Below are 26,449 nucleotides of genomic sequence, written 5' to 3' on the forward strand. Positions count from 1 at the left end.
GCTACTCGGGAGGCTGAGGCAGGAGAATTGCTTGAACCTGGGAGGAGGAGGTTGCAGTGAGCCGAGATCGCGCCACTGCACTCTAGCCTGGGCGACAAGAGTAAAACTCTATCTCAAAAAAAAAAAAGAAAAAAGAAAAAGAAATGTTTTTTGAGCTTGTTTTCAACAGCAAACACTTTCTCCTAATGCAAACGTCTATAGAATATCAATATGAAATATACTCACGTGTGCCCCTGAGGTAACTGCATGAAACTCCTAAAGCTCTGAGAAACAGCTTGAAAATCCTTGCTCTAAACCACAGAGCAAGTTCTATTCTCTTTTGTATCTTAGACTATTTGAAGTGGTAAGATCAGTTCTGGTTACTACACTTTAAAGCATCTTTGAAAATCTTGACCCTACAAAAGAATGATGCAAGGATTTGAAAATGTATCATATTAAAAACCAGTAAAGGAAATGTTTTCCTCACTGTGTCATGAAATATGTTCTTGAAATATGTTCTCAAAACACCTGAAAATATATGGAAAAGAAACCAGGACTTATTCCGTGTTTCCAGAAGACAGAACTAGAAAAAAGAGATAGTGTGTGTGTGTTTGTTAGGGCTGCTATAACAAAGTAGTTCAAACTGGATGACTTAAAAGAAACCAGACATTTATTGTCTCACAGTTCTGGAGGCTGGAAGTCCATGATCAAGGTGTCAGCAGAATCATGTTCTCTCCCACAGCTCTAGGGAAGAACATTTCCCTGCCTCTTCCAGCCTCTGATGTTCCCAGCAATCCCTGGCATTTGCTGGCTTGTTGATACATCACCCCATGACTGCATGGTCTTCTCCCCATGTGTCTGAGTCTCTTCTCCAATTCTTAGGACACCAGTTATATTGGATTAAGGCCACATTCTACTTCGGTATAACCTCACCTCAACTAATGACATCTGCAATGACTCTATTTCCAAATAGGGTCACAATTTGAGGTACTGGGAGTTAAGACTTCAACACATCTTATTGGAGGACATGATTCAATCCGTAATAGATAGTATGAAGGCAGATTTCAGTTCTGAAAAAAAAATTTATTTATTTATTTATTTTTTGAGACAGTATGTCACTCTATCTCCAGGCTGGAGTGCAGTGGCACAATGCAACCTCCATCTCCCAGGTTGAAGCAATCTTCACACCTTAGTTTCCAGCTACTTGGGACTACAGGTGACACCACCACATTCAGCTAATTTGTTTGTATTTTTTTTGTAGAGATGAGGTTTTGCCATGTTGCCCAGGCTGGTCTCGAACTCCTGGACTCAAGAGATCCACCTGCCTCAACCTCCCAAAGTGCTGGGATTACAGGTGTGAGCCACGACGCCTGACCTGGAAGAAATAACTTTCTAATAATCAGATTTATTCAAAAGTGCAATGATTTTCTGAGTTAGGTTAATCCCTGTAAATGAAGGTGATCAGGGTGATCGCTTCAAAGACATTCAGAAATAATTTATTCATTGATTAGGCTTTTGGACTAGAAAGTATTAAATTCCTGGCTGAGCGCGGTGGCTCACGCCTGTAATCCCAGCCCTTTGGGAGGCCGAGGCAGTTGGATCTCTTGAGGTCAGGAGTTCAAGACCAGCCTGGCCAACATGGTGAAACCCTGTCTCTACTAAAAATACAAAAATTAGCCAGGCATGGTGGCATGCGCCTGTAATCCCAGCTACTTAGGAGGCTGAGGCAGGAGAATTGCTTGAACCTGGGAGGCGGAGGTTGCAGTGAGCCGAGATCGCGCCATTGCACTCCAGCCTGTGCGACACAATGAGACTCAGTCTCAAAAAAAAAAAAAAAAAAAAGTATTAAATTCCTTTCCAGCTATTAGTTAATGGGCAATTAACCCATAAACTGAGTAAAATCATCACACTAAATATTTCACTATCATTGCTACCTAAAAACTTCAGCTCCCGTCTCCACTTACTAATTGACTATATAAGCTACCATACTCGGTGCAACGGGGGAATGCAAACACATCTCCTTTTCTCCCAAACCTGCTTCTTCTCTTTGTACTTTGGTGAAAACTATCACCCTCAACTCATTTGTCCAAGCCCAAAACATAGTGGTTATCTCAAGTATAAGTGTACTGACTTTCAGCATGGATTTTGGAATTTGTCCGACTCAGGTTTGGGTTTTTTTTTTTTTTTTTTATTTTTAAACAGTGTCTCGTTCTGTCATCCAGGCAGGAGTGCAGCGATCTTCTTACCCCAGCCTCCCAAGTAGTTGGGACCACATGTGCAGACCACCATGTCTAGCTAATTTTTATATTTTTGCAGAGATGGAGTTTCACCATGTTGCCCAGGCTAGACTCAGGTTTTAAATTCTAGCTCCATCACATTTAAAGTGTGTGATTTTGGACAATTTGATTATGGCTGAATTTGTCCACTTTCTCATACCTTATTTCAGGCAGCCATCATCCTGTCTTTATTACTAAAAGCCTCCTTTTTTTTTTTTTTTTTTTTTTTTTTTTTTGAGACAGAGTCTCGCTCTGTCACCAGGCTGGAGTGCAGTGGCATGATCTTGGCTCACTGCAACTTCCACCTCCCGGGTTCAAGCGATTCTTCTGCCTCAGCCTCCTGAGTAGCTGGAACTACAGGCATGTGCCACTAGGCCCGGCTAATTTTTTTTTTTTTGTATTTTTAGAAGAGACGGTGTTCCACCATGTTGGCCAGAATGGTCTCGATCTCTTGACCTCGTGATCTGCCTGCCTTGGCCTCCCAAAGTACTGGGATTACAGGCATGAGCCACTGTGCCTGGCCAATTGTGTTTTTTTTTTAATTGAGGTATAATGTACAATAATCTACAAATAAAGTGTATAATTTGATGAGATTGACATATACCTCTGTGAAACCAAGACAATCAAGATAATGAACATATGTATCATTCCCAAAAGTTTGTTTCTTCCCCTTTGTAATCTCCCCTTCCCGCCATCCCATTTCCCTATGCAAACATTTATCTGATTCTGTCACTGTAACTAAGGATGCATTTTCTAAAATTTTATGTAAATAAAGCCATACAGGATGTATGCTTTTTGGCCTGGCTATATTCACTCAGCATAACCGAGATTTATCAGGATTCATCAACTTCATTACATGTATCAATAGTTTGTTCCTATTTTATGACTGAATATTATTCCATTGTATGGAGAGTTGCTTATCTGTTCACCTATTGATGGACATTTGGGATGTTTCTAGTTTGGGCAGATTACATAAAACATAAAATGTTTTATGTTTCATATAAACATTAGTGTACAAGGCCTTTTGTGGACATATGCTTTCTTTTCTCTTGGGCAAATAGCTAGGTGTGAAATGGCTGATTTGTATAGTAGGTATGTGCATAACTTTTAAAGAAACTGCCAAATTATTTTCCAAAGTGGTTATACAATTCTAAATTCCCACCTGCAGTGTAGGAGAGTTTCCATTGCTCCACATCCTTGCCACAACTTGGTATGGTCAATGCAGTGGGTGTGTAGTGGTATCTCATCATTGTTTTTATCATTGTTTTTATTTGTATTTTGCTAAGGACTAAAGGTGTTAAGCAGCATTCCACGTGTTTGTTTGCCATTCCTATATTCTCTTTGGTTACATATCAGTTCGAGTAAAAAACAAAATCACCCATTACTTCATTGGGTTTTGTTACTGAATTTTAAGTTCTTTAAAAATTATAAATATATCCTTTATCAGATATATTTGCAAAGATATTGTCTTGTTTTCATAGTTTGTCTTTTGAAGAACCTGTTTCAAATTTTGATGCGTCCAACTCATTCTTTTAGAATTTGTGTCATAGTTAAGAAATCTTTGTCAAATCCAAGACCTCAGATTTTCTCCTTTTTGAAGTTTTATTGTTTTTGCTCTCAATTTAGGTCTATGATTCATTTTGGGCTAATTCTGTATACAGTGTTAGGTAAGATTTTTGTTTTTTGCATACGGCTTTCCAAATGTTCTAATGCCTTTCGTTCGATGGAGTATTGCTTCACCCACAAGTGCCTTGGCATCTTTTTTTGAAAATCAATTGACCGTATTTCTGGACTCTCTATTCTGTTCCACTATGTCTATCTTTATTCCAGTAGTTCATATTATAATCAATTCAAGCCATCATCCTTTGTCTGGATTACTGAAAAAGCCTCTTGGGTTCTGCTCCCATCCCCACATCCCCAGCTCTGTGACTCTTCCAATCCATTCTCCAGACTACAGCCAAGGCCAAGGTAATTTGTCCAAAGTGCAAATCTCATTCCACCAGTCCCTTTGCCCACACAATATTAAGTCAAAACTTTATAACATGGTTTTTGTTTTTGAGATGGAGGCTTGCTCGGTTGCCCAGGCTGGAGTGCAGTGGTGCGATCTGGGCTCACTGCAACCTCCGTCTCCTGGTTCAAGCAATTCTCCCACTTCAGCCTCCCAAGTAGCTGGGATTACAGGCACATGCCACCAGCCTGGCTAATTTTTTGTATTTTTAGTAGAGACAAGTTGGCTAGGCTGATCTCAAACTCCACACCTCAGGTGATCTGCCCGTCTCAGCCTCCCAGAGTGTTGGGATTACAGGTGTGAGCCACCACACCTGGCCATAACATGGTTTTTTACCACTCTAATTCAATGCTCCCACCACACTGTTCTTTATCATACCCGGGTCTTTGCAGTGTGTGCTTATACATGCCCTCATCTTCACTCTCCCACCTTTACCTGGCAAATACTCATCCTGCAGTTTGTCATGTTCCCTGAATTCTTTCTTGGACTCCATGTGTTGATTTTTCCTGCCTTGATGCTCACCCAGCACTCTGTGATTACCCCAGGATACCAAGTGTCAAACTGTATTTCAATTACCTGTCTGCCTTCCCTGCCTGATCATAGTTCCTTGAGACTCAGTAGGCATTCAATATTTAAATGAGTATAAAGACAAACAAGATAGGTTCTCATTCTTCAGAAGATCCCAAGTTAAGCCAGGCAGATCAGCAAACCATATCAGATCATGTCAAACTCCTCTAATGCTTTCTAGGTCTGTTTATATTTCTGCTGGCTGTTAATCATGGTGTCTTATTTCCTAGAATGTGATAACTTTATGTCCTAGGAAGAAAGTATCTTCCTCCAGAGAGGATATTCATTTGCTTCTGCATGTCATCTCCTGAGGACACTGCCAGTCAGGGACCACACCTTAATCCAAGTCCAAGGCTTGACATTCCCTGAACCACCCTAGAGTGGGTGCAAGTCTGAATGATGGCTGGTTTACTTAGCTGATCTTTACTATGAAGTAGACCTACTGGGTCTAGCTTTAAATTATTTCTTGGTGGGTGGGATGCTGGGGTAGTACTTCAGACTCCTTGTTTTAGGCATATCCTGGGCAACTATCCTTGTGATACCGCCCACACAGTAGCTCAGTTTCATAACTATTTCTTCCCAATTGATAAATTTCCTGAGGACAAAAGCAACTCTTAGTTGCTGGGCTCATCTCTCAGCTAATGGAAACTGAAGGACCAAATAACTTCAATCTTACCCTGACTCACAAGGACCTACATCATTCCAAATACTCTGCTCATCCTGAACCAGTCCCACAGTCCTTTGTACTGATCTTCATGCAAACTCCTCTCCTGTCCTAGCATTTTGTACTTGGGAACTCTGTTCTTGCCTGAAACCCATCTACAAAGTTTACATTTTTCAGGTCATGACAATATTTTTATTTTTTTTAGATGGAGTCTTGCTCTGTCACCCAGGCTGGAGTGCAGTGTGTGGTCTCAGCTCACTGCAACCTCTGCCTCCCGGGTTCAAGCAATTCTTGTGCCTCAGCCTCCCAAACAGTTGGGATTACAGGCATGTGCCACCATGCCCAGCTTTTTTGTATTTTTAGTAAAGATGGGGTTTCTCCATGTTGGCCAGGCTTGTATCGACCTCCTGGCCTCACTGATCCGCCTGCCTTGGCCTCCCAAAGTGCTGGGATTACAGGTATAAGCCATCATGCCTAGCCCATGACAGTATTAAAGAAAATAAATTCAGGGGGTACACGTGCAGGTTGGTTACACAGATCCATTGCCTAATGCTGGGGGTTTGGGCTCTATTGAACCCATCGCCCAGATAGCGAACACAGTACCTAATATGTAGTTTTTCCAACCCTGGCACCCATCCACTCTCTTTTAGAGACGGAATCTCGCTCTGTCCCAGGCTGGAGTGCAATGGCATGATCTTAGTTCACTGCAACCTCTGCCTCCCGGATTCAAGCTATTCTCCTGCCTCAGCCTCCCAAGTAGCCGGGATTACAGGCGCCCACCACCACGCCGTTATTTTATTTTTAGTAGATACGGGGTTTCACCATGTTGGCCAGGCTGGTCTCAAGCTCCTGACGTGATCCACCTGCCCAAAGTACTGGGATTACAGGCGTAAGCCACTGTGCCTGGCCCATCTTTATGCATGACAGTACTTTTCACAGACATGTTTCTTTGATAATCAGAAACTATCTGCACCTCTTAAGGCTTGTCACATTTTATATGATATGCTTTTCTATTTATTATCTCCCTTATTACATATGCCCTTTGAAGATATATACCTCATCTGCCATCCTTCTTGGCATATGAAAGGCACACAATAATTATCTGCTTAATGCTGGTTTTTAAACTCTATGTCAGGTTTACCTTTATGATTTTATGGTTCCTGAGATGTATTTAGTTTAAAACAATTAATTTGTGACAAGCAATTTGCCTCAGAGATAAAGATATGAGAAACACCTATAAAAAAAGCCAAAACCAATGAAGAATGATTAATGATTTATTTAAAAGTAGTTTTCTCAAACTCTCTGGGATAGAAAGAGCAGGGTCCTGTTATACATTTTACTCAGGTGGTGGTTCTGGATATATGTTTCAAAATAGCTAGCACCTAAGTTTCTTTGAGAAAGCTAGGATAAAAATACAAGCATAACCAAGTTAATTCAATACACACTTATTAAATGCCTATGTGCTACAGGTACTGTATACTAGGTACTGTGTGCTACGTGCTGGGGACACAAACACAATTGCAACACTGTCCCTACTGTTAAAAAGTTCAGGATAGATGACTGGTAGGGAGAGAAGAAAGGACAAGGATGATAACCTTTCAGCTACCTTTGAACTAGACCTTTCAGGTAGAAACGCAGATCATGAACATTCTAGGAGGGAAGAACATTAGCAGACGGCAGTGGAAGCTTGCATTGCTACTGCTTATGAAACAAGGTTTGTGGACAGCTGAAGAGCAGCCTAGGGACACCAAGGCCAGGTAGTGAAAGGCCCTAATGGTAAGGAGACTGGAGAGAAGGTAGAAATCTCAGAGACATTTTAAAGTTACACTCAACAGGACTTGAAAAATGCAAGGAGAGGACTACTGAGTATCATTGCTTGATTAAGTTGGATGGGAATGTCATTAAATTATAACAGGATAAAAGAAATATGTTTTCATTGAGGTATGGAAACATAAAATTTTAATGTTGAATTGGCTATCTGCAGGATACAGCCATCTATATTAGGATCTTGTCTAATGACATATATTCACCCACATTAAGTCCCTGAAGGCCAGATACAGACATGAGAAGATATTTCCTACCTTAGTTGATAAACTTTCCTTATTATTTCCATAATCCACTTAACTGTAAAGGGCGTAGGGATTCCCACTTATGTATTTTGCATTATGCAGGCAAACATTAAAAATAAATCTTACAGGCAACTAAAAAAATGGTTGAAAGGGGCTCCCAACAGGACAGATAACCACAGTGGCTTTGAGCTTTGTTGTCCAAGTACACAAAACTCTTAGCTGTCTCACTTGCTTCTTCAATTTAGCTTATGTTTAATTTTGTTACGTGTTATGTTAGTGTGAAAATGAGTAAGAAATATAGGGAGGACATAAACAGAGTCACTTATCCAGGGTAGCTTAAACTAATGGAGAAAAGTCAAATCCTACTATGGAAAGTAGAAATTAAGGATTATAATAAAGGAAAAGGGCATCATCAAAGTACAAAAGATGGTTCATATATTTATCTAACCATCTACTAACATAGTTGTGTAGGACGGCAGGAACAGCTTGAGACATGATCGTTTTTATGGCAGAATGGCTGCCTCAATGAGGACTAAGGTGCTCCTGGGGCAAGCAGATCCCCTGCAGAAAAGCTTAGAATTACCAGCAGAGCATATTTAATTCCTCCTGTCAGGAATAACAGATGCTGAGATAGCCCCTTCTTGTGGTTATTTCTTTCCTCTTCTTGCAGCTTCAAGAGTCACTCATTTAAGTCATTAGTTGATCTGTTTGTATACTCCAGAAAGCATCCAGAAGTTCTTAGAGTATGCCCTTAATTGTACAACTTGAAGTTCAGGAACATCGGACTCACGATAACTCTAAGCAAGTGCCTGGGTCTCCATTTCCATCTTCACTGAAAACACTCAGTCTTTAGTTGGGACTTATTAAAACACTAAAACTAGCTACATATTACATAAAGGTGATGTGTTAAATAGATGGTTTAAGTGACTATCTTCATTCTGTTGCACTCATTTTGGAAATGGACATGTTCCTGTTTCTATAATCCTTTAAAATTCAGTCTTTTGTGAAGAGAAACTACTGTACAAATACTTTTACGTCATAAACCAAAAAGAGGTCTGGTATCTATCCCATTTAGTATTCAAGTCTACAGAAAAAATCCAATAACAACTGCTTTATTATTAAAAGTTATGAAATTCCATAAAGCAAAGTAATCTGCATTCAACTAACAAGTCTGATACATGTATTAAAAAATATATAACATAGATTTGTCTGTTTTAACATTTATATTCTATTTAAAAAGTAGTGACTTTACATATTTTGCAACTTGAGTTTATAAAATATATACATCCACCCTATTCAAATCCTCAAGCATGAGCTTTCATTCCTATTAATAAAATGCACACTCTGTAGTTCTGAATAATAAAAGGAAAATGGCACCAACTAAAACAAACAAATTCATTTTGACCTGAACATGCATTTAGTTTTTGGCTACTAATCAACCCAATAATCCATTTTACCTTGAACCTGACCACCAATTTGCCTTTACATAAACAATCTGTGGTTAACTATGAAAAGATGCATTTTCATGGTATCTGACACAATTTACCAAGTTCCTTATGGTAGATTTCAGGCTTTAAATTGTAAGTTTCAGGCTTCAAAAGAGGCAGGATTATTAAATCTTTCCATACACCAGAAAATCTGACAAGTGATGTCATTTTGAAATCATGCTTTTGCCTTTGAGAAAACAACTTAGAATTGTTGTAGGACCAATGAGAAAACAACTTAGAATCGTTGTAGGACCATCCTTTTCTCAAAACCCAGAGAGTGTATGTGCCAAGGACTAGAACAAGAATTGGATCTCTCCTTTTCCCAGTCAACTCCTCACTCACCATATTAAAACTGGAGTTCTTGAGGTATGTTAAGATAGATCAGCTTCTATTCAGGCATTCCTTCCACATACTCAAAATACCCTCAGATATTTTATTAACAAAAAATTTTTCATAAAAAAATAGTCATTTAATCATTCTAGAGACTCATCACAAAATACAAGTCACAATATTAACATATGAAAATTAAAATTACAATTAACATCTCACCAGGATCAAAGAACCCTAACTTCAACTTTCAGGATAGAGAGCTAAGTTTCAAGTACATGTCTAGATTCTATGTGCCTCTAATGATAATGATGTACATAAACCTGTCTTAAATCGGCAAACAGACGAGGCATGGTGGCTTGCACCTGTAATCCCAGCATTTTGGGAGGCTGAGGCAGGAGGAATGCTTGAGCCCAGGAATTCAAGATCAGCCTGGGCAACATGGTGAGACCTCGTGTCTTTAAAAAAAAAAAAAAAAAAAAAAAAAAAAAAAAAAATTCTATCCATCCAGGCATGGTGGCACACACCTGTAGACTCAGCTACCCGGGAGGCAGGAGGATTGCTTGAGCCAAGGTGGTCAAGGCTGCAATGACTGTTCCACTGCACACTCCAGCCTGGGCAACAGAGGAAGACCGTCTCAAAAAACAAAAAACAACCCACACACAATTTATGTTGAGAAAGCAAGTCTCCCACAAATTATTTTTAAAAAATGATTCCAGGCTGGGTGTGGTGGGTCATGCCTGTAATCGCAGCACTTTGGGAGGCTGAGGTGGGCAGATCACTTGAAGTCAGGAGTTCAACACCAGCCTGGCCAACACGGTGAAACCTTGTCTCTACTAAAAATTAGTCAGGTGTGGCAGCACATGCCTGTAATCCCAGCTACTCAAGAGGCTGAGGCAGGAGAATCGCTTAGACCCAGGAGGTGGAGATTGAAATGAGCCAAGATCGTGCACTGCACTAAAGCCCGGGTGACAGAGCAAGACTCCGTCTCAAAAATAAATAAATAAATAAATAATAAAAATAATCATTCCACATCTCAAAATGACTTAGAAATTTAAATGGAAAAAATAAATAATTTGCTTGGACAATAATTTGGCTTTGGGAGAGTCCTCATCCGAAAATAACAAAATTTCCTTAATATTAGTACTAAAGAACTAATTACAGCTAACAGCTCATTTACCAAGTAGTCAATTATTCAACAAATTTAGCCATCTACTGACAAACTGAAATTAGTATCAGAAACTCCATGTATTTTATTTGTAGGAGAGCATTTTAAATTTTTCAAAAATTCATGGCATAATTTTAATAATCGTCCTTCTGTAGAATCCCTAACCTCAGAAAAAAAAAAGAGAGAATAAATTAGAAGTGAGAAAAGGAAACTGCGGAAGACTGACACATTGGACATCAGTGGGAAGAGGCAGAAAAATAGGAAGAAAAATAAAGGACAGATTTAAAACAATTTAAAAAGGACTACAAAGAGGATTGGGGCCAGTTGGTGCAGATTAAAAGACACCTTCTTCACAGACCTCAATCATGCACAGGCAGTAACGGCATTACTATAACACAGAACAGTATAGTAGCTGATTCTGATAATGAATCCTCAGAAAAGAAGAATATGGTTAAGCTTCAGTTCTTTTTGAAAAGCAATTTACATACACAATTACAAATAATTGTAAATTTTAAGCATTCAGCTAAGATATGTACAAAAAAATTAATGAAAGTGAGATCAAGAAATATAAGCAGCAGTAACCATAAAGGCTTAGAACTAGTGACACTGAATTCTTTATTTAAAAAAATTTTTGTAACACACAGTACCTCCTCTTCTCTTCTATTTTTAGGAAGAAGTTATAACAAGTTTTAAATATCTCAATTCTGAAAAACAATAGGCTTTTAAAAAATAAGACTTGATTACCAGAAACAAGTAATATGTAGTTACATAACCATTTTCATATCACTACTCATTTCCATTATTTACCAATTCATCTTTGATGCAACTTGGAAACAATTAAGCAGTCACTAGACACCTGTTTTAGAATCTGAAGAAATTATTATCCACCACAGGAATCTAATGATATATATATTTGCATATATTTAAAATTTCATGAGGGAAAAGGTAATAAACTATTCTAGTTATTTTATACCAAATATTGATATTCCTAGTCAAAACAACAAGGAATTAAGATCTTTCTCCAGGTGAACTGCTGACTATATAGAAGCTATTTCCAGCACTTTCTTCTGGGGATTAAAAATGATTTATTTCCCTGCTGGCTAAAATGATAAATTATATATTACAAGTAAGTCCTTCAGAAGTGAATATTAATTCCTTAAGAGAACCATAAAATGTATTTTTAAAAAATTCTCTTAAAAACTGAAAACAATCCTTCTCTCTAAACCTATGGCATTAATCCCTACTTGACCAAAGAAAAAAAAAAAAAAGAAGGGCATCATGTTCATGATCTAAGCATGCATAAATAAGGAAGCAAATGTATCACTGTCTTAATAGAATTTGGCAAACCAGAAGAATGGCCTAAAAATAAATAAATAAATAAATAAAAGAAGAAGAGTGTACCTTATCTTCTAAGTATGAAAGTCTAATTCTGTAGGCCTATGTCGCAAATAGTGCCCCACGAGGAAATGCAGGGAGGAGGCAAGTAGCATATTCCTATATACATTTTCTTGATATTCTGGTTGTCTTTCAACAATGCATTACAGAGAAATATTCTTTTTATTATTACAAGCCATTAATTGCTCTCTGTAGAGCAATGACTCAGATAAATGCCTTATGACTTTTAATAATGTAACTAACATATAAATTAAATCTAAGTGCAAGGAGTTTTCAATGATTCCTAAATTCAAGAGAGTGTTGTTAGCCTGATTATGAATTTTAAATGTCTGTGCTCCTATATTTTAGGATATTTCATCTTATTTTCTACTCTTTAAACCATAAGATGTACCGAAATTATTTCATTTTCCTCTACTTTCCTCTGTGTCATTTTAGTTTACTTTATGGTATTTATATGTAGAGAGAGAGGTATGTTAAAATATTGTCATAAAAAACTCAATTGAGGCTATATATGACCTATTACTCTATAGTATAGCATTGTTAATCTTTGACTCAGTATATTAATTCCTTTGGTGAATAAATGTCACCGGTCATTTCTTTATAAAAGCATTTTGGTAAGAGAACCAGCAATATGGAGACAGATTTCTCCCTAACCCCCAGAAGAAGATCAAGTCAAACAGTAGTGTAGAGCAGTTACGCAAAATATGAAAATACATAATTTACAGCTGCAATTTTCATATTAAAAGCAGTTTAAAACTATGAGTAATTCAAAGACTTTCTGTCTTGGTTAAACAGGCCAACTAATAAAACTGACAGAGATCATTGTGAGAATTTATCTAGTCAAGATAGAACAAAAACGGTTATAATTTTTTAAAAGTGGTAATTGTTAACTAGCAGTATATAAACAGTGTCCACAATTTGGTGGCTGGCCACGGTTTTAATTTTTTTTTTCAAGTTATTTCTATAGCAGACATATTTTTGAAGTCTACCCACCCCTGAGTTCAGCAATTATACTTTGAGTGTAAAATTATATGCCCTTAATTAACAACATGTACAAAGCTACAAAATGTCATCTATACAGATTAAAAACAATTTTAAAATATTATTTACCAATTATTGATTGAATGGTTTTACTGGGGTACGTATTTCAAACCTTTCAGCCAACTGGCTTTCAGTTTTAAGCCCAAATTGATTCATATATTCACTGCAGGATATTTCAAAAAGAGTGCAACAATAAGGCATTAGTAAAAATAACATTGTAGTAGAAACAGATTTTGCATATGTGAAAAGGTAATTTATAAAATACATTAATCACTTTTTAAAAAGAACTTAGTTGTAGTATCATTAACTCACATGGTACTGAGAACTGGACCTTTCAACAATTTTTTTTTTCTATAGAAAGTTTCATCTAGCTGTAAGCAAAGTCTTTTCAACAACAACAAAACAAAACCCTCCAGGAAAAACTATATGGCTGTGTGAGACAAATAAGCAACCATTTGATAGTGACTTTTGCCTAAATTTTAAAATAAAAATGTCCACACTCTTTTGTTAAAACATTAAGCCTCTGTCAAAAATGTATTTCTTATTTTAGGGTACAGGATTAAAGGACAAGATGATACTCACAAGTAAAGAAAATTTACAAGAAAAAACTTAACAAAAGTTTCAATAAAAGTATTGTAACATTCAAACTTGACTTATAACAAAAGAAACAAGATTGCAAACAAAAATGTTTACGGGGTTTCCAAACATAAATAAATGAAATAGTGTTTAGGCAGTAGGGCTCATGCTGATGGCTAGCAGGAAGTTAACAGAGTGTAACTTACTTGGAAAAAATCTTTAATGTACAAATAACAAGCCCAAATTATGGACTGCAGCAATTTAATCATCACTGCCATTTTTCTTACTTCCAAAATAAAGCCTTGATTAAACCATTCATACCCTATATTACTCATACCTTTACTTCAGAGATTGAGGAACTATATACAACAAATTAATTTATTTTCACCATAGGGATAACATACTGTACCTCTCTGCCAATGTTACTTGAAAATCTTCCATGTCAAAACAACTTGACAGTAGATATAAACAATTCAATAAATATGCAATGATCTTTCATTACAGTCCTTTAAAGACGCATGTTAATTCATGCTGTTAACCTTAGGATCACAGTGCATAGAATCCAAATATAAACAGTTGGGGTGACTTTTAAAGTAATGTTGGATCCCTCACTTTATTTATATTCCCACTATAACCAGTAAGTTCATTTCATAGGCCCTATCATGCATTAATCATTGAATGGCAGGAGTTAATGAAAACTTTTCCTGTTACAACGCCCATTGCCGGCAATGAACGTACCAAAACCGCCAAGGAAGTCATTGTTATTGCACAATACATGAGGACCTGGAGCTTTTCCAAAAGCTTAAAAAAATAAAAATAAAAAATGGAATTATATTTGACATTTCCTGACACCTGCATTAATACTGTATGACTAATAAAAGCATGTCAGTTGCCTGGACTGAACCAGCGATCAACATGCGCCCAGAATGCACACGAGTAAAAATGCAGTAAAAGGAAGTAGTCTTCATTGCCTATAGGTCACTTCCAGTCAAAGGTTAAAGTTCAAAGACTGAATGATCAAAGTGCTCATTTTCTCAGTAGGACTATCTTCTGCTAGGAGGATGATAACAGTGGCATCAACAAGTATCATCTTTAAGAAAAGGAGAAAAAAGATAATTAAAAAGTCAAGCATGTATAAGTAAATTCTACAAGTCTGTTTAATGTAGAAATAATTTCAATTAGCAAGAAGTACATAGTTTACATGTCTGATCTGCCTCCCCCAAACCTGTGAATACAAAGTGCAATATATGTTCAATTATACAGTGACAAATTTTTATTCTTTCAGAGAAATAGTTCACATAAACCTTAAAATGATATGTTATTAGCACATTCTATTTAAAATAATAAACTGACATGACATGTTAGTACATAGTCAGGATGTATCAATCTTAAGAGAATTATTTTATGGGCAACAAGTTCACATTGTAATGAGACAGAAGTAAACTCCTGATCAACAGTGCCATGCTATTTAACACAGAATAATACACAATTTGTCTTTAGACTGTGAAGGAAGTAACTGTTCTTTACCAATGAGATACAATCTCCAAATCAATAAACAGTTAAGATTAATTTCCCTTTAGAAAATAAGTTTTCAGGCCGGACACGGTGGCTCACACCTGTAATCCCAGCACTTTGGGAGGCCGAGGCGGGCGGATCACTTGAGGTCAGGTGTTTTGAGACCAGCCTGGCCAACATGGTGAAACCCTCCCTCTACTAAAAATACAAAAATTAGCTGGGCGTCGTGGCACACATCGGTAGTCTCAGCTACTCAGGAGGCTGAGGCAAGGGAATCGCTTCAACCTGAGAGGCAGAGGGAGGCTCTGTCTCATAAAAAAAAAAAAAAAGAAAAAAAAAAAAAGAAAATAAGCTTTCAGCAAGTATAGATACATATGCAAATGGGGTCATTAAAAAACTCATGAAATTATTTAATAATAACTTCTGGTAGCCTCAACACATATATATGTAACACAGACAACTTTAGGATTATTTATTTTACAAAATTTATTTCACAAAACATATCTGAAAGATTTATTCTGAGGATGAGTTATTCTTCAGAAGGAAGCTACATAAAGAAACTAAGACTGGTGGCCAAGAGTTGTGAAAGCACTCAAGGAAAAAATTCTGAAATCCTAGTCAAAATATTTTACAGACTGATATGGTTTGGATATCTGCCCCTTCAAATCTCATGTTGAAATGAGTGATCCCCCATGTTGGAGAGGGGCCTAATGGGGAGGTGTTCGGGTCATGGGGGCAGATCCCTCAGGAATGGTTTGGTGCCCTCCTTGCAGTCATTAGTTCACATGAGATCTGGCTGTTAAAGGGGCTGGGACCTCCTTCCTGTCTCTTGCTCCCTTCTATTGCCATGTGACTTGCCTGCTCTCCCTTCACCCTTCCACCATGAGTAAAAGCTTCCTGAGGCCTCACCAGAAGCAAATGCCAGCACTATGCTTCTCTACAGTCTTCCAAACTGTGAGCCAAATAAACTTCTCTTCTCATAAATTAGTCTCAGGTACTTCTTCAGAGCAACACAAAACAGATTAATACACTATCTCATGTTAGAATTGATATACTGCTAATTAAAAACCAGTAAAATCTGACTTCTAAGCTGGGCAAACTCATAGAGTATTCCATGATCCAGTAATTTCAAGGGGGAAACAGACTGGAGTTTAAAAATAAATCATCCCTAATTCATTAGACGCCTTAAAATAAATAAGAATAGTATCTTTAAGAAAACAAGTAGTTTATATCCTCTAAAGTTCACTCACAATTTTCTTGGCAATGCAAAGTGGCTCACGCCTGTAATTCCAGCATTTGGGGAGGCTGAGGTGGATGGACTGCTTGGGCCCAGGAGTTCAAGACCAGCCTAGGCAATACGGCAAAATGTTGCCTCTACAAAAAATACAAAAATTAGCCTGGCATGGTAGTGCATGCCTGTAGTCCCAGCTACTTGGGAGGCTGAGGCTGAGGTGGGAGGATCGCTTGAGTCTCAGAGGTTGAGGCTGCAGTGAGCCGTGATCCCTAGCCAACACCATCTCCAAAAAAAAAAAAAAAAAAAAAAAGGGGGATGTTCTTTAAATTATTGTGGTACTTGAAACAGACAGAGAAGATATACTTGTTATGGATATAAAACAAACTTAGGAATATTAATAAGTTCCTTAAAACATCGCTTCTGCAATAGAGTAACAATAGGGTTGGTCGCTGAAACTAACACTAAAACTAATCATACTCAAATCTCTAAGCTAAAAGATGGCACTAAAATTCTACCTAATATGTCAAACTACTGGGGATAAATTTTAAGGTGATACAAGATAACAATATATACAATAAGAAAAGTGACAGATAAAATTCAATTTGAACATAATGTTATCCAGTTAACTACCAATAAACTTGTATCTCCAAAGACATACCATCTTTGACAGGTGGTAGCACAAATGCATCTTTATTTACTAACTTGTTCATTGCAGAAGGTTTTTAGTATAGTAGGTTTTCTGTAGAACGTGCTACCAAAATGATTAGGAAATCTTTGTGAAGCTACTTTCCAGATCCCAATCCCTGTTTCTGACTGATATGATACTACCCACCTTTGAATACCCTCGTTTTGAAGAAACAAATGATCTGTAACAGCTAGATCAACAGGGACTTGCGGGACTACGAATCCATGATGGCTATATGTAATCAAGAGTTTATAAGCAAACTTTAAGTATAGATACAACTATGAGCCAAAGCCATCGCCATCCTTTTTCTAAATAGGATGGCCATAACTAAGAAGCAAAAAACTTATCCGTTACTAGAAAGAACATAGTTTGCTAGCCAGATGAAAGTATTATTGGATACCAGGACAAACTCACCCCCCAACCAAAAATAAATAAATAAAAAATAAAAAAAATCAGAGTAACCCATTTTGGGTCAAGACAAATACAGGCTGACAAAAGGTGGTAAAAGAATGGTATATTTAATCTCTTGGTTAAAGCATTTGTAACAAGATAATGGCCTGAAGAAAAATCTAATTATTAACCATTTATATTTTTCCTGGAAATTCAGAAGCCTCTACTAAAATTACACTTTCAAATATAACATACAAGCTGCCAGTTTCAAAGAGGTGACACCTACCATGGCTAACTTCACTGGGCTTCTGAGAAATGTAAATGAGAAAGAACTATATTAGAAGAAGGTCATTTAGTTTTCTCCTGAGAATAAAAACTATCATATAGTTTTCCAACTATCATGGAAACCCATCTCCTTGGATATCCCCAGGGACAGAAGACTAGAAAAAAAAGGAACACAGTAATACAGGTCAGTGGATATGAAGTGGATGCTACCTCCAAGAAAGAGAAAATATTTAGTTTTGTCTCTCAACAATTTAGGGAATTAAAATTTTCCTTTAACGAACCAATTCAAGAGATATTTCAAAGTAGGCAGACAAAGACTTGTTAATCAGCAGGAAACAGAAGGCACAAACAAACTGAGTAAAAGTTTGGACTCAGGAATTTAGTAAATGGTTTTATAACTCCAAAAGCTGGTACAAATAAAAAAGTTCACAACACAGGTAAATCTATGGACAGCAACTATACAGCAGGAAGAAAAGGAGTTTGATACTACTAGTCTGAGACAATTTTATGCTTCTGCCCTCTTGTAGTCTTTATACTTCTATAGAAATGTTCCAGCTGAACAGAATCAGAATGCAGTCCATGGTTTTTAAAAACCGATATTCCTCTACACCTTCCCCAAATTACAGACTCATTTTGTTGGATATGCCATCTAAACATTGTGCCAATTCATTTCCTATGAGCTTAGGTCTCTGAAACCAATCTTCAACAAACAGGAGCCTTAAGTTACACGGGGTGAGCATCCCTAAATCCAAAATCTGAAACTTTTTAAGTATCAACATGACACCACAAGTGGAAAATTCCAGACTTGACCTCATGATGTTAAACAGTTAAAACTCTGTTTCATGCAAAAAATTATTTAAAATGCTGTATAGGTCCAGTGTGGTGGCTCATGCCTGCAATCCCAGCACTTTGGGAGGCTGAGGCGGGCAGATTGCTTGAGTCCAGGAATTTGAGACCAATCTGGGCAACATAGTGAAATCCCATCTATACCCCCCAACAAAATATACAAAAATTAGCTAGGCATGGTGGTACGTTGTCTGTAGTCCCAGTTACTCGGGACACTGAGGTGGGAGGATCACCTGAGCCCGGGAAGTTGAGGCTGCAATGAGCCATGATCATACCACTGCACTCCAGCCTAAGTGACAGAGTGAGATTCTGTCTCAAAAAATAAATGAAGTTTTGTATAAAATTACCCTCAGAATATGTGTTTAAGGTATATGTGAAACATACATAAATTTCATGTTTAGACTTGGCTCCCATCCCCAAGATAGCTCATTATGTATATGCAAATATTCGAGAAAAACAAATTGAAACCCAAAACACTTCTGGTCCCAACCATTTCGAATAAGGGATATTCAACCTACAGTTTATAACCAACCATTCAATTTTCTAACACTTTAAGGAGAATGGTTCCAGCCAGCCACAGATCTGTCCTCCCCGCTGTGGAAAGCAAATCATTTATGAAACTAAGTTGTATATGCCTGATACTGACCTCAGAAAACAAATGGACCATACAACTAATGGACTTTAGTTGGCTACTTCACTGAAATTATTTTTATGGTCTCACAAAGAGACACATTCAAAAGATACTTTCTATCTTTCCCAAGAACAATTATCATGTCTGTTTTATGATATAGAACTCTGAGGCCTCAATCATTCATTTATTGGTGCATAGAACTGTATGCAGATCTGTTTTCTAAGGAAGATTCTAGCACTGAATCATAAGAAAATTCCTTAGCCCATCTATATGCTGAGGTGAGTTGTCTATTTTGCATACCTATTTTGGTTAGGCTTGTTTTTTTTTTAACCCTATTCTCCCTGCTCAATGGATTATTCAAAGCATAAGAATCCCCTCCCACTCCCGCACTGCCTTAACTGGCAATGAATAAATTTGCATTTCAAAGCAGGTATGACTTCAATTTCTTAGTGAATAGAAACTATAAAGGAATTCTGGAAAACACATTGATAGTCAACTACAAGTAAGTAATAAAGAAATGTGCAGTCACTATCAATACAACTTTTTATTTAATATATCCAAAGACCTCTAAACACTAATGAGGTGACTTTTTACATGGTAATAAATCACTGTGTGGTAAATAAGAACCTCAAAAGAAATAAATACAAGCTATGATGCAAGCAAAGACAATAACAGTGGGGTAAACAGTGACTGGCCTAATTCTTAAGGGATTCTAACTAATAATGTAGAAAACCACAAATTTAAGCTGAGAGAGGTCTCTTCCAAGAACTTTACAAGACCAGTGCTCTAACCCCTGAGCTATGGAGCCCTTGTGTCTTCTTCCAAGAACTTTAACACTGGTATTTGGCAGCTCAGCTTTAGCATGTCAGCAGAGTCCTCCTCTTATAAAACCAGGAAATGAAGCAAATTTCAGATTTGTTGTTTTTCATTAACTGTGCCTCCATCCTGCATCCAGCATCCAGGAAGTATATATACAATCACTAATCTAAACCAAACCTCTCTTGCCTCTTTGCTTAGATCTGACAAACACTGACTCACCTTGACCCAAGTATGTCAGGAAGCACCACACAGGAGGACTGTGGAGCTTGAGACCTGAGGCACACAATTCCACTTAGTTTCTAGAAACTGAAATGCTAAGTGTTTCAGTGAGTTTATCCAATTCTTAGTAAGCTTTTGTTCAGTTTCTGATCTTTCTGCCTAGCCTTGAAAGTCACATAAGGAAACTGGCCTGTTCTGTAAGCCTTTGAAAATTAGATGATGCTAAGAAACATCAAGAGTCCATATGTCTTGGTAACTAGGTGTTATACTGGAACAAAGCAGTATAACACCTAGAGCTAAGCAGGAAAAGATACTGACTTGTGGAAAGTTCTAATAAGAAAATTAATGTGTTATACTTTTTACAAGCGTATGATTATCTTTGTAAGATTACCCAAATTTACCTATAATGCCAGGACAAGCTATTATTCACATTGCCTGTGACTGCTATTCTGATATATATAAAGGAGAAGACAGTATGTGCTACACAGCTGAAATGCATTAGCTTTTTAAAAGTGAAGGAAAAAAAAGTGAAGAAAAAGTTCAAAGAAGATTCTCTGCAGCCATCCTAGTTGGATGACAGAACAGCTGCTTTACCATCTCAATGTGTAACAAATATTTCCATTCCTTGATTGCTATGAAACTCACTTTCAAAACAAAGTTGTCCCTTAAAAGGAGAATGGTGGAGGGGAATGATTCAAACATTCAGCATTCAAGCAAGAGGAGAAAATATATTAAGAGATAAGAATGGTCATCGCAAGTCAATGAACCAAGGATATTTTAAACAAAATTATCTGTAAATGAAAAAAAAAAATTTATGTACCCAGGACTGGGGACTGGAGTAGAACAGTCATAATTCAGGTGAGTAAGAATCCAGTGCCTTTTAAAAATAGCTCATTTGCATTGGGGGAGCGGGGAGAGGTGAAAGAGGAAAGGATAACTTTAATCTGTTTATTGGAAAAACTAATTACTGTATGAACTTCAGACTATTTTATATTATGTGAAAGGTTAATTTGGTTTGAAAGCCTATTTTTTTGGTACTTCTCGGCTTACTTGGAGATTACGTGTCTCCAAACTACTAAAAAGAACTTTCTACTTCAGTCAGCAAAGTATGGATTTCTCAGTAACATAAAAACTGTTAACTCTAAGAAAAATAACTTCTATTGGCTGGGCGCAGTGGCTCACACCTGTAATCCCAGCACTTTGGGAGGCCGAGGGGGCAGATCACCTGAGGTTGGGAGTTCAAGACCAGCCTGACCAACATGGAGAAACCTCATCTCTATTAAAAATACAAAATTAGCCGGGCGTGGTGGCACATGCCTGTAACCCCAGCTACTCGGGAGCTGAGGCAGGAGAATCTCTTGAACCCAGAAGGCAGAGGTGCGGTGAGCCAAGATGGCGCCACTGCACTCCAGCCTGGGCAACAAGAACAAAACTCCGTCAAAAAAAAGAAAAAGAAAAAGAATAAGAACTTATATTTCTATTATAAATTCTAATTTAAAGAATTAATCCTTATATTTCTGGTTTTATCTTTCCCCATTTCTTATTCAAAAGCAGGTAAGAAGAAACTCTGAAGTATTCTTAGATGAAAGACTTCTCATAAATCCTTTCAACCATATAACCCAGCATTAGAGGGGCTAGAAAACCGATTATCTTTTTGAACTTTCTCCACTAGGGAGTAGTAAATAAGGAAAAAATAGGAATACCCTCTAATAATGGCATGAGAAAGTAGGAGAGAGGGTTGTACTTTAAAAAATGTGTACTTTTAAAAAAACTCATCTTCTAAAACACAATGTCCCCTGAAGTTGCATGAAAAACCTCAAGGTGGTTTAAAAACACTTGTAAAAAAGAAGAATCTTTCAATTACTAGTGAGATTGAATCTATCTGAACCAGAATTACTAGAGTCTTAAAAACACTGACACTTAAAAATAACTATGTTTGTCAATATTCCTAATTGGCTAATCTTAATTTTTGATGCATGTGGGAACTCACTATAGTAAGATAAAGGAGTTTCTGACACTCAAGGATTTTTTTTGTTTGTTTTTTAAGGCTTTTTTGTAAAGGCATGAAGAAGCGGCTTAGTGTTTGGTCCTAAAAGGCAAAAGAATGTAAGAAAGAATTAGGCCTGTTAATTAATGAGTCTATTTGGAAACCTTGTCAAATAATCTCAGAAACAATAGTTCTCAGAAGACTAGCTACATCAGAATTATCTGAGGGTATCTTAATGTAAACAAAACCAGCATTCAAGTTTATTAGGTTCCTCAAAGGAGGGAGTACTTAACAAGGCTTTGGTGAAAGAGCTCCTAAGAAGAGAGGAGTTGTGTGTGTAGTAGAATTAATTTGAGGCAAATAGCACATGTAGAGGTAACAGATGGCAGACTAAGAAACTGAGTATATAATAATAAAGTACTACACTGAATATTTCATAAATAAAACTTTTCTTGTGTTAAGGATGTTTTTTAGGACAGATTCTCTGAAGTTTAATAACTAAGACAAATGTTTGCTCTTGAATTTTAAGCTTGCTAAATACTGCTAAACTGCTTCCTTAAAGGATTACACTAACTTGCTACATACCGCCAGCAAGTATGAAAACAATTTTATTCTACCCTTTACTCTCCCCTTCAGTATTGCATTTGTTTTATAAAACTCTGCAGATTCAGAAACTGTTTCAAAATCTTAAACTGGTAATTATTTTACTGAGCTGCACTTTTTTGCCTATTTTGTTTTTTATCCTTAAGTAACTTTCATAAACGGTTTATTTTTAATAAGCTATAAACATTTCAAAATTTTTTCAAACTTTATAACGATAGTGCTTTAAAGTTAAAGAAGCTGTACATTTTCATATAATTGAATGTTTAATTTCTTTGTGATTCCTTTTAAATTCAGAAATTCTTCCTTTCTCCAGAGAGCTGATACCCAACATTGAAAAAAAACATTTTTTTGGTTATATTTTAAAAATAGGCCAGGCGCAGTGGCTCACGCCTGTAATCCCAGCACTTTGGGAGGCTGAGGCAGGCGATCACCCTGAGGTCAGGAGTTCGAGACCAGCCTGGCCAACATGGCAAAACCCGTCTCTACTAAAAATACAAAAATTGGCCGGGTGTGGAGGCTCATGCCTGTAATCCCAGCACTTTGGGAGGCCGAGGTGGGTGGATCACGAGGTCAGGAGATCAAGACCATCCTGGCTAACACAGTGAAACCCCGTCTCTACTAAAAATACAAAAAATTAGCCGAGCGAGGTGGCGGGCGCCTGTAGTCCCAGCTACGCGGGAGGCTGAGGCAGGAGAATGGTGTGAACCCTGGGAGGTGGAGCTTGCAGTGAGCCGAAGTTGCGAAACTGCACTCCAGCCTGGGCGACAGCAAGACTCCGTCTCAAAATAAATAAATAAATAAACAAAAATAAAAATAAAAATACAAAAATCAGCTGGGCATGGTGGCGCGCCTGTAATCCCAGCTACTAGGGAGGCTGAGGGCAGGAGAATTGCTTGAACCCAGGAGGCAGAGGATGCAGTGAGCCTAGATCACGCCACTGCACTCCAGCCTGGGCAACAGAGCGAGACTTCATCTCAAAAAATAAATAAAAAATAAATAAATACAAATACTGAACCCACAAGAAATATTTTATGCAGTGAAAATATTCCTTCTCCAAAGGATTACAGATTTTCCAAGATGATTACTTACTAAATAATCCTTCCCCTTATCACTGATTTGTAATGCCTTATCATATATTCAAATGTTATATTCAACTGGGCCTAAATAAGAGGAACTGTATTTCAATGATCTGTTCTTCTATTAGTATTTTTAGTGTCCTGTCTGGTAGATTAATTCTCCATTACCTTTATGGCTCAAAATTCAAACTTTGTTCTTCTCATCTACTATTTTTTTCCCAAACTTTTCAAACACCTATCTCCCTTCCCACCCCCACAATCATTCACTGGATTTGTAATGAACTCCATCGAACCTACAGTTTGTAAAATACACGTATTTTTATTTCACAGCTCTTAAAGTTTTGCCATTTTCTTCTTCTTCTAAGTCATATGTATTTCTTATTGATATTACCCCAAATTTTCACATTTCTGTCTCTCAGGAACAGCATATTTCTTTGTTTTCTTTTTTCTTTTCTTTTTTTTTTTTTTTGAGACGGAGGCTTGCTCTGTCGCCCAGGCTGGAGTGCAGTGGCGCGATCTCCGCTCACTATGAGCTCCGCCTCCTGGGTTCATGCCATTCTCCTGACTCGGCCTCCCGAGTAACTGGGACTACAGGCGCCTGCCACCACGCCCGGCTAATTTTTTGTATTTTTAGTAGAGACAGGGTTTCACCGTGTTAGCCAGGATGGTCTCAATCTCCTGGTCTCGTGATCCACCCACCTCAGCCTCCCAAAGTGCTGGGATTACAGGCATGAGCCACCACGCCCGGCCACTTCTTTGTGTTTTCTAATTTTTAACTACTGGCATAGTTCTATTGCACTGACTCGGGTCATCTTTTCGTTCAACACCTGGGGAACTTTTAAGTTTTTAATTCACTCAATTTAGGTGAGGATACAGAAGGCTTCACACTGGATAGAAGATACGGGGAGAAGGTCATAGTTCAATTAGTTTTTGCTAGTTCTAATTTATTATCAGGTTAACATTAAAAAAAAAAAAAAACCCACACACATAAAAAACCCCAAAGGCAATACTCTTATGTATACAAAAATCACAGGGGATGGTTTTTGTTTACTTGCTTCAAAAACTACATTGAAGAATACAGACTTTTTGTTTTTAATTTCAAATAACTCTTCAGGGAAGCATTAAGGTTAGTTTAGAAATACTAGCAGCTCTGAATTATCATTACCATCCCAACAAATACAATAGAAATTTAAAATTAGAGAGTACTTTATTAATACAACTACAATCAGCAGAATCTCACTTTTTTTTTTTTAAGGGATAATGATTAGAATAGAGAGCTTTCTAATTTAATGAGGTACCCCTTACTGTGACTCCCGCCTCCTCCCGGCCATGAATACTACCAGAACTAAATGAACAAACAAGGCATCAAAACTTCTATTTCAAACAACAGACTTCCCAGTAACTAGTTCTTTTTTTTTTTTCCTTTGGAGATAGAGTCTCATTCCATCACTGTCACCCAGGCTGGAGTAGAGTAGCGTGATCTCAGCTCACTTCAACCTTCGCCACCAGGGTTCAAGTGATTCTCATGCATCAGCCTCCAGTGGAATTAGCTGCAAGCCACCACGCCCATCTAATTTTTGTACTTTTAGTAGAGACGAAGTTTCACCATGTTGACCAAGCTAGTCTTGAACTCCTGACCTCAAGTGATCTGCCCACCTCTGCCTCCCAAAGTGCTGGGATTACAGGCGTAGGCCACCATGCCTGGGCTCCCAGTAAATAGTTCTAATTTGATCTAAAGATTATTAACAACTTCTTTTCTGTAATACAATGGTAGAGTCTCCGAATGTCAAAGTAATTTTACATTTTACTTTTATGATGGCTATGATTTTGTTTGCCCCATTAAAAATCTGGTGTAGTGCTGGGCGTGGTGGCTCACGCCTGTAATCCCAGAACTTTGGGATGCCCAGGTGGGCAGATCACCTGAGGTCAGGAGTTCAAGACCAGACTCATCAACACACAGAAACCCCATCTCTACTAAAAATACAAAATTAGCTGGGTGTGGTTGCACATGCCTGTAATCTCAGCTACTTGGGAAGCTGAGGAAGGACAATCGCTTGAACCCAAGAGGCAGAGGTTGTGGTGAGCCAAGAATAACACCATTGCACTCCAGCCTGGGCAACAAGAGCAAAACTCCATCTCAAAAAAAAAAAAAAAAACAAAAAAAACTAGGGTAATTCATCCATTAAATATATTAGAATATTTTAAAGAATTTTCTTCATATAACATAAATATAACACCAATTATAGCTTCTCTTCTTTTTCCCAAGTCTTATAGCAAATATATATAATCTTCATATCAAAATGCTAAAAAGTTATTACAAATTCAAACTGCTTACCATGATACCACCATTTTGTTTTCTTTGGATTCTTGTTACATGTTCGCACATAAAAAGAATTATCCGGTGGTCGTCTCTGAAACAAAAAATAATTTAAATAGGTTGAAAAACAGAAAAACTGAGAGGGTGACAGTTTTAATAAAAGCTTAAGAAAAATTAACAGAATGCATAAAAAACAATATAAACATGAATAGTATATCTAAAAGAATAAAAACTATAAATGTATTCCAGGAAATGTGTATGCTTAACACCTAAATTTAAAAAAGG

At 37.4% G+C, this 26,449-nt stretch overlaps 1 protein-coding gene across 6 annotated transcripts in view; it reads right to left on the minus strand.

The window, feature by feature from the left end:
* Positions 1-627: 627 nt before the first annotated feature.
* The window catches only part of UBE2W (ubiquitin conjugating enzyme E2 W), a 98,767-nt gene continuing 72,945 nt past the window's right edge, over positions 628-26,449 (minus strand). For 3 of the 6 annotated variants that reach the window (NR_073121.3, NM_018299.6, NM_001001481.4), the window contains 2 exons: positions 26,183-26,258; positions 6,751-14,647 (listed from right to left, as the gene is read on the minus strand). Coding sequence is in view for 3 of the 6 variants with exons in the window: in NM_018299.6 (NP_060769.5) it covers positions 14,634-14,647; positions 26,183-26,258 (90 nt within the window). In the remaining 3 variants the exon portion in view is untranslated. Of the gene's footprint in view, positions 1,050-6,750; positions 14,648-16,322; positions 16,447-17,138; positions 17,223-26,182; positions 26,259-26,449 lie in introns of those variants that run through there. The other 3 variants (NR_073119.3, NR_073120.3, NM_001271015.3) reach the window with 3 other exon arrangements.

The sequence above is a fragment of the Homo sapiens genome, chromosome 8 (genome assembly GCF_000001405.40).
Source record: "Homo sapiens chromosome 8, GRCh38.p14 Primary Assembly".
NCBI lineage: Eukaryota > Metazoa > Chordata > Mammalia > Primates > Hominidae > Homo > Homo sapiens.